Raw genomic sequence first — 5187 nt, 5'->3', positions numbered from 1 at the left:
ATAATAATAATTAGTATAATAACAATGAATTTGACAAAGGAAAAAAAGTCAAGAGAGCCATAATGGATGTGGAGAGCCAGAGGAAAAAGTACATGTTTGATGAGATGGGAATAGTGAAGTATTGCTCAAATATTATGTTTTAACTTGACATTAAGTCATCACTTTTTTATAAATATAAAGCTTTTAAACATATGACTATAGGCACATAAAGAGAAATCCATATGTACAGTGAAGCTTAAAATAATACTGTCTATAAGATTGCATTATTAGTTACATTTGTTCTCCATTACTGACATTAATTAGGTTTTGACTAAATCATTAGAACTATTATATTTACGTATGACTACTAGAGAATATTAGAAAAAAAGTATTCCCCCATGATTTTAGTCTTACTCACTGTTTCCAATTTAAAATCATCACAGGTCAAACTGTATGGAAATAGTCAACCTTCCCCCTCAAGTCAGCAATAGTATTAGAATCAGAAAATTGACATCACCTAGTGAATAGGGTCAAGTGCTGCAGTAGCAGCAAATTTAACACATATATTCAAACTCTAGATGTCAATGGTACAAAAATATCATCAACCAAGCTGTCTTCTTTTACAAATAAGATAACTGCTAGTTTTTTTTAATTACTATTCTTTGGTGGCCTTATATAACAAGTTCAATGACCTAAGTTCTGACCTTACAATTCAGACACACTGCAGAAGGAAGATACCAAAGACATACAACAGTTTCCAGACATAAAATTCACTTTCACCTTAAATTAACAGGATATGGAGGACATTAACCAGTATGTGACCCTGAGATAATGATTTGATATCACTTATGCTTGCTTTATGAAAATATATTAGGGAACAGCTAGAATGTCTTATCAACCTCTGAGCAAATAAAGAGAAGGTTCTCAGGGAAGACTATTTCAACCTAGTGTTGAAAAGCAATTTGAAGTTAATCGCCCAATCTTGAGACAGGATTACTAGTTCCTCAGTCTCCAGGGCAGAAGTCGAATCTTAATGGAGAAGGGATATTACTCCAGAAGGAAGTATAATGACTGTCCTTGGTGAGTCTGTGATTGCGGAAGCAATGATCGGTTAAGTGACGCGTAATCCTCCAGAGAGGAACTCTCTGATCCAGAACTTCGTAATGAAAGTTAGATCAGGGACAGAACCATCTAAGTTCCCTCCCTTGCTAATATTTCTAAAGCTCAGAGAAGATTCAGAAACAGGTGTTCTTCAAGCTGAAGAAATTCTCATAATGAATGAGCACAATCACCACAAGGACATGATACAATGGGCTAAGTAGAAGCAAGTATCCACAAAGGGCTATCAGGTTTGTAGTTGACCCTTGAACAACATGGGTGAACATGCTGACCTCCACACCATCAAAAATATGCATATAACTTTTAAGTCCTCCCAAACTTCACTATTAATAGCCTATCATTGACCAGAAGCCTAACCTATACTATAAACAGCATATTAACAAATATTTTATATGTTATATGTATTGTATACTGTATTCTTATAATAAAGTAAGCTAGAGAAAAGAAAATGTTATTAAGACAATCATAAGCAAGAGAAAATATACTTACTGTTCACTAAATTAAAGGGAATCACCCTAAAGGTATTCATCCTCATTGTGATTAGTCTGAAGAGGAGGAGGAAAAGGAAGGATTTATCTTGGTGACTCAGGGATGGCAGAGAAAAAAAATCACACATAATGGTACCTGTGCAATTCAAACCTGTGTTCTTCAAGCATCTACTATATATTTATATGTATGTAAACTATACATATTTTATATATATGTTAAATATATTTAATCAATCCAGTGGGAGCAGAAGCCAGTGACATTTTGGATACATAGGAAATATTGTATAATTGCATGCTACGTAACAGTAAATGAACTTTAAGAAAGTTTCATTTTGATGCACTGTTGCTAATATGTGTTGAAGTTTTGCTTGGTTTTAATTCTGTTTCTTGCCTGCTGCCATGTAAGATGTGCCTTTCACCTTCCGTCATGATTGTGAGGAAGGTGAAAGATTACAGGAAAGTCATCTTGACCCAGAACCCAAGAGAGGGTTCTTGTATCTCGTGCAAGAAAGAATTCAGGTGAGTCCACAGTGCAAAGCAAAAGCAAGTTTATTAAGAACATCAAGTCGTGAAAGTACAGCTACTCCATAGACAGAGTAGGGCATTCCCAAAGTCAGAGGAGGAACGCATCCACCTTAAGTACAATACTAGATTATATATCAAACAAAAAAAGATCATGGGGAGATGTGCTTTGCTACAAGGGTTTGTAATAAAGGATTCATTTTCTTTTCTTTTCTTTTTTTGAGATGAAGTCTCACTCTGTCACCCAGGCTGGAGCGCAGTGGCGCGATCTCGGCTCACTGCAACCTCTGTCACCCAGGCCGGAGAGCAGTGGCACGATCTTGGCTCACTGCAACCTCTGCCTCCTGAGTTTAAGTGATTCTCCTGCCTCAGTTTCCCAAGTAGCTGGGATTACAGGCAAGCACCACCATGCCTGGCTAATTTTTGTATTTTGTGTAGAGATGGGGTTTCACCATGTTGGCCAGGCTGGTCTTGAACTCCTGACCTCAAGTGATCCACCCACCTTGGCCTCCCAAAGTGCTGGGATTACAGGTGCGAGCCAAGGCACCCAGCCAATTTTCTTAATTACTGTATTTTGCAAGAATTGATGTTATTATCTCTAAAGCAAAATTAGGAATGCTTCTGTTCTCAAGATATCGGGATATCTGGACACTCTGTTTAGTAAACGTTATCAATCTTCTCCCTGAACCGTAAACATCTAGAGGCTAGAAATATCTAAGTTTCTGGGAATGCAGCCCAGCGAGTCTCAGCCTCATTTTCCTAGCCCTCACTCAATATGGAGTCACTCTGATTCCAACATTTCTGACAATTTTACCTCTTCTCTTTTTCTAAGATTAGTTGACTCAATTTATGTGAGTTTATTCTTGGATTCTCCATTTTGTTCCAATAAACTTTTGTCTATTCTTCCACCAATAACACATTGTCTTCTTTACTGTAGCTTTATCATTACTTATAATTTTGACAAATATTTTTCAGCACTTACTGTGAGACAGGTATTATAATATGAGTTTTTGGTAACACTGGAGGCAAAATCAGACAAGCACTTTGAACTCATGGATATAAAAATTCAGTTGGGAAAATAGATATTAATCAACAAATCTTACAAGTGAAGTAAAAAAACTCACATTGAAGAAGTGCTACCAAAAATTGTGAGAGCGGGGAAGGGGAAAATTGCATTATTCAAATATTTGAGTTAGTTATTATTAACCAGAGATCAAAATGAAGAATATTTTTAACAATGTATAGGAGAATGATGTGGATAAAATTAGAAATAATTTCTAGACAGCACATGTTCAGGCTTTGTGTAGGAGGAAACATGATGTAATTGAGGAACAAATCGAAAACCTGGGCAAGCCAATGGGACAATGGGATACAGAGGGCAAGGTAAAACTGAACACAAAATCTTGTTGTAAGTAGACAGTGATCAGAGCAAGAGAACTTTATATTCATGTTAAGGACTTTTATATTTATATTGAAAGCTTTTTATATTTACACTAAGGATCAATGGTAAGCTACTTTGAAGTTTTAAGCAAGGTGTGGGTACGGGGATGAGGTGAATTTGAACATATTGTTCATTTTAAATATATCTCTATGATATAAGCTTTCAAAGGAGTGCTTGAAGGTGAGGGCAAGGAGAGATGTTTGGAAAGAACTAAGAGGTTACTGTAGTAGTTCAAATGGGAGATTATGACAATGTATAGAACAGAATGGTGGTGAAAAGAGAAAAGTGGGTAGATCCAAGACATGGTAAGAAGGTCAAACAGGTGGAGATTTGCAAAGAATTGTGGGGTAAAGTGGATTTCAGTTGTCTGATTTATATGACTGCTTAAATGGTCATGGCATTACACATGAAGTTTGGGACCACCAAGAGGAAGGTAAAGCTTAGAAGGTAATATAATGGTTGTGATTTCTGTCATCTTACATTTGAGAAAATCTTGAGAAATTTAAGGGTGCCAAGCTATCTTTGGAAATAGGGGAATAAAGAAATAAAACAAAATACTGGGAGACTGAGGCGGGCAGATCACTTGAGGCTAGGAGTTCAAGAACAGCCTGGCCAACATGGTGAAACCTCATCTCTACTAAAAATACAAAAATTAGCCAGGTGTGGTGGCAGGCACCTGTAATCCCAGCTATTCAGGTGGCTGAGGCAGGAGAATCACTTGAACCTGGGAGGTGGAGGTTGCAGTGAGCTGAGATTGCACCACTGCCCTCCTGCCTGGGAGACAGAGCAAGATGCTGTCTCAAAAAAAATAAAATGCTATTAATAAGCTAGGGAAATAGTTCTTTACGGATAATTTTGATTACATTTCCATTGGGCCTAGATGGAGATAACATTAAATAAATCAATGTGAATACTGATAAATAAGAATCTATAAATAGTGGATACCATTCTAAGAAGAGAGACCACTATGCTTATGGAATGATTAGCAGAAACGGCTTTGCAGAAATAGGGGACAATTTATCTTGAAAGGGCCAGTTAAAGTCAGCATTTGTTAAGAATTCAATACAATGCCTGGTTATTATTCCATAGAGACTAGAGTCATAATGTTTGTTAAACAATGGAAGGAAAAATATCAGATTAGTATTTCACAGAGATAATTGTACCTGTAGTGTAGAACAACAGTTCCCAAATTGTGGACTGTAGACTTGTGAGTATCTGAAAACTTTCAAAGGATCTGCAAGGTCAAAATTACTGTAAGATGTTTCTTGCCTTTTTCACTGTGTTAATATTTGCAGTAATGTTGCAAAAGCAATGATGAATAAAACTGCTTGTGCCTTAACATGAATCAAAGCGGTTGCACTAAATTATATGAGTAGCCATTATATTCTTCCTCATTATAAATGCTTAGTAGGAAAAAACAGAAACAAAAGCTGCCATTTTACCTGAAAAGTTCCTAAAAGCAGCAGAAATAAATTATTAATTTTATTTAATCTCAACTTTGGGTACACATCTTTGAATGTTACGTGTCACAAAATGAGAAGTATGTGTAAAGTACAGGGTGCAGACCAATATATCACTGTTGTATTGAGAAAAAGCACCTGTATATAACTTTTTAGTTGTAAGATGGATTAGCTGCTT

Source organism: Homo sapiens, chromosome 21 (genome assembly GCF_000001405.40).
Source record: "Homo sapiens chromosome 21, GRCh38.p14 Primary Assembly".
Lineage (NCBI taxonomy): Eukaryota > Metazoa > Chordata > Mammalia > Primates > Hominidae > Homo > Homo sapiens.
This window is presented reverse-complemented; position numbering follows the sequence as displayed.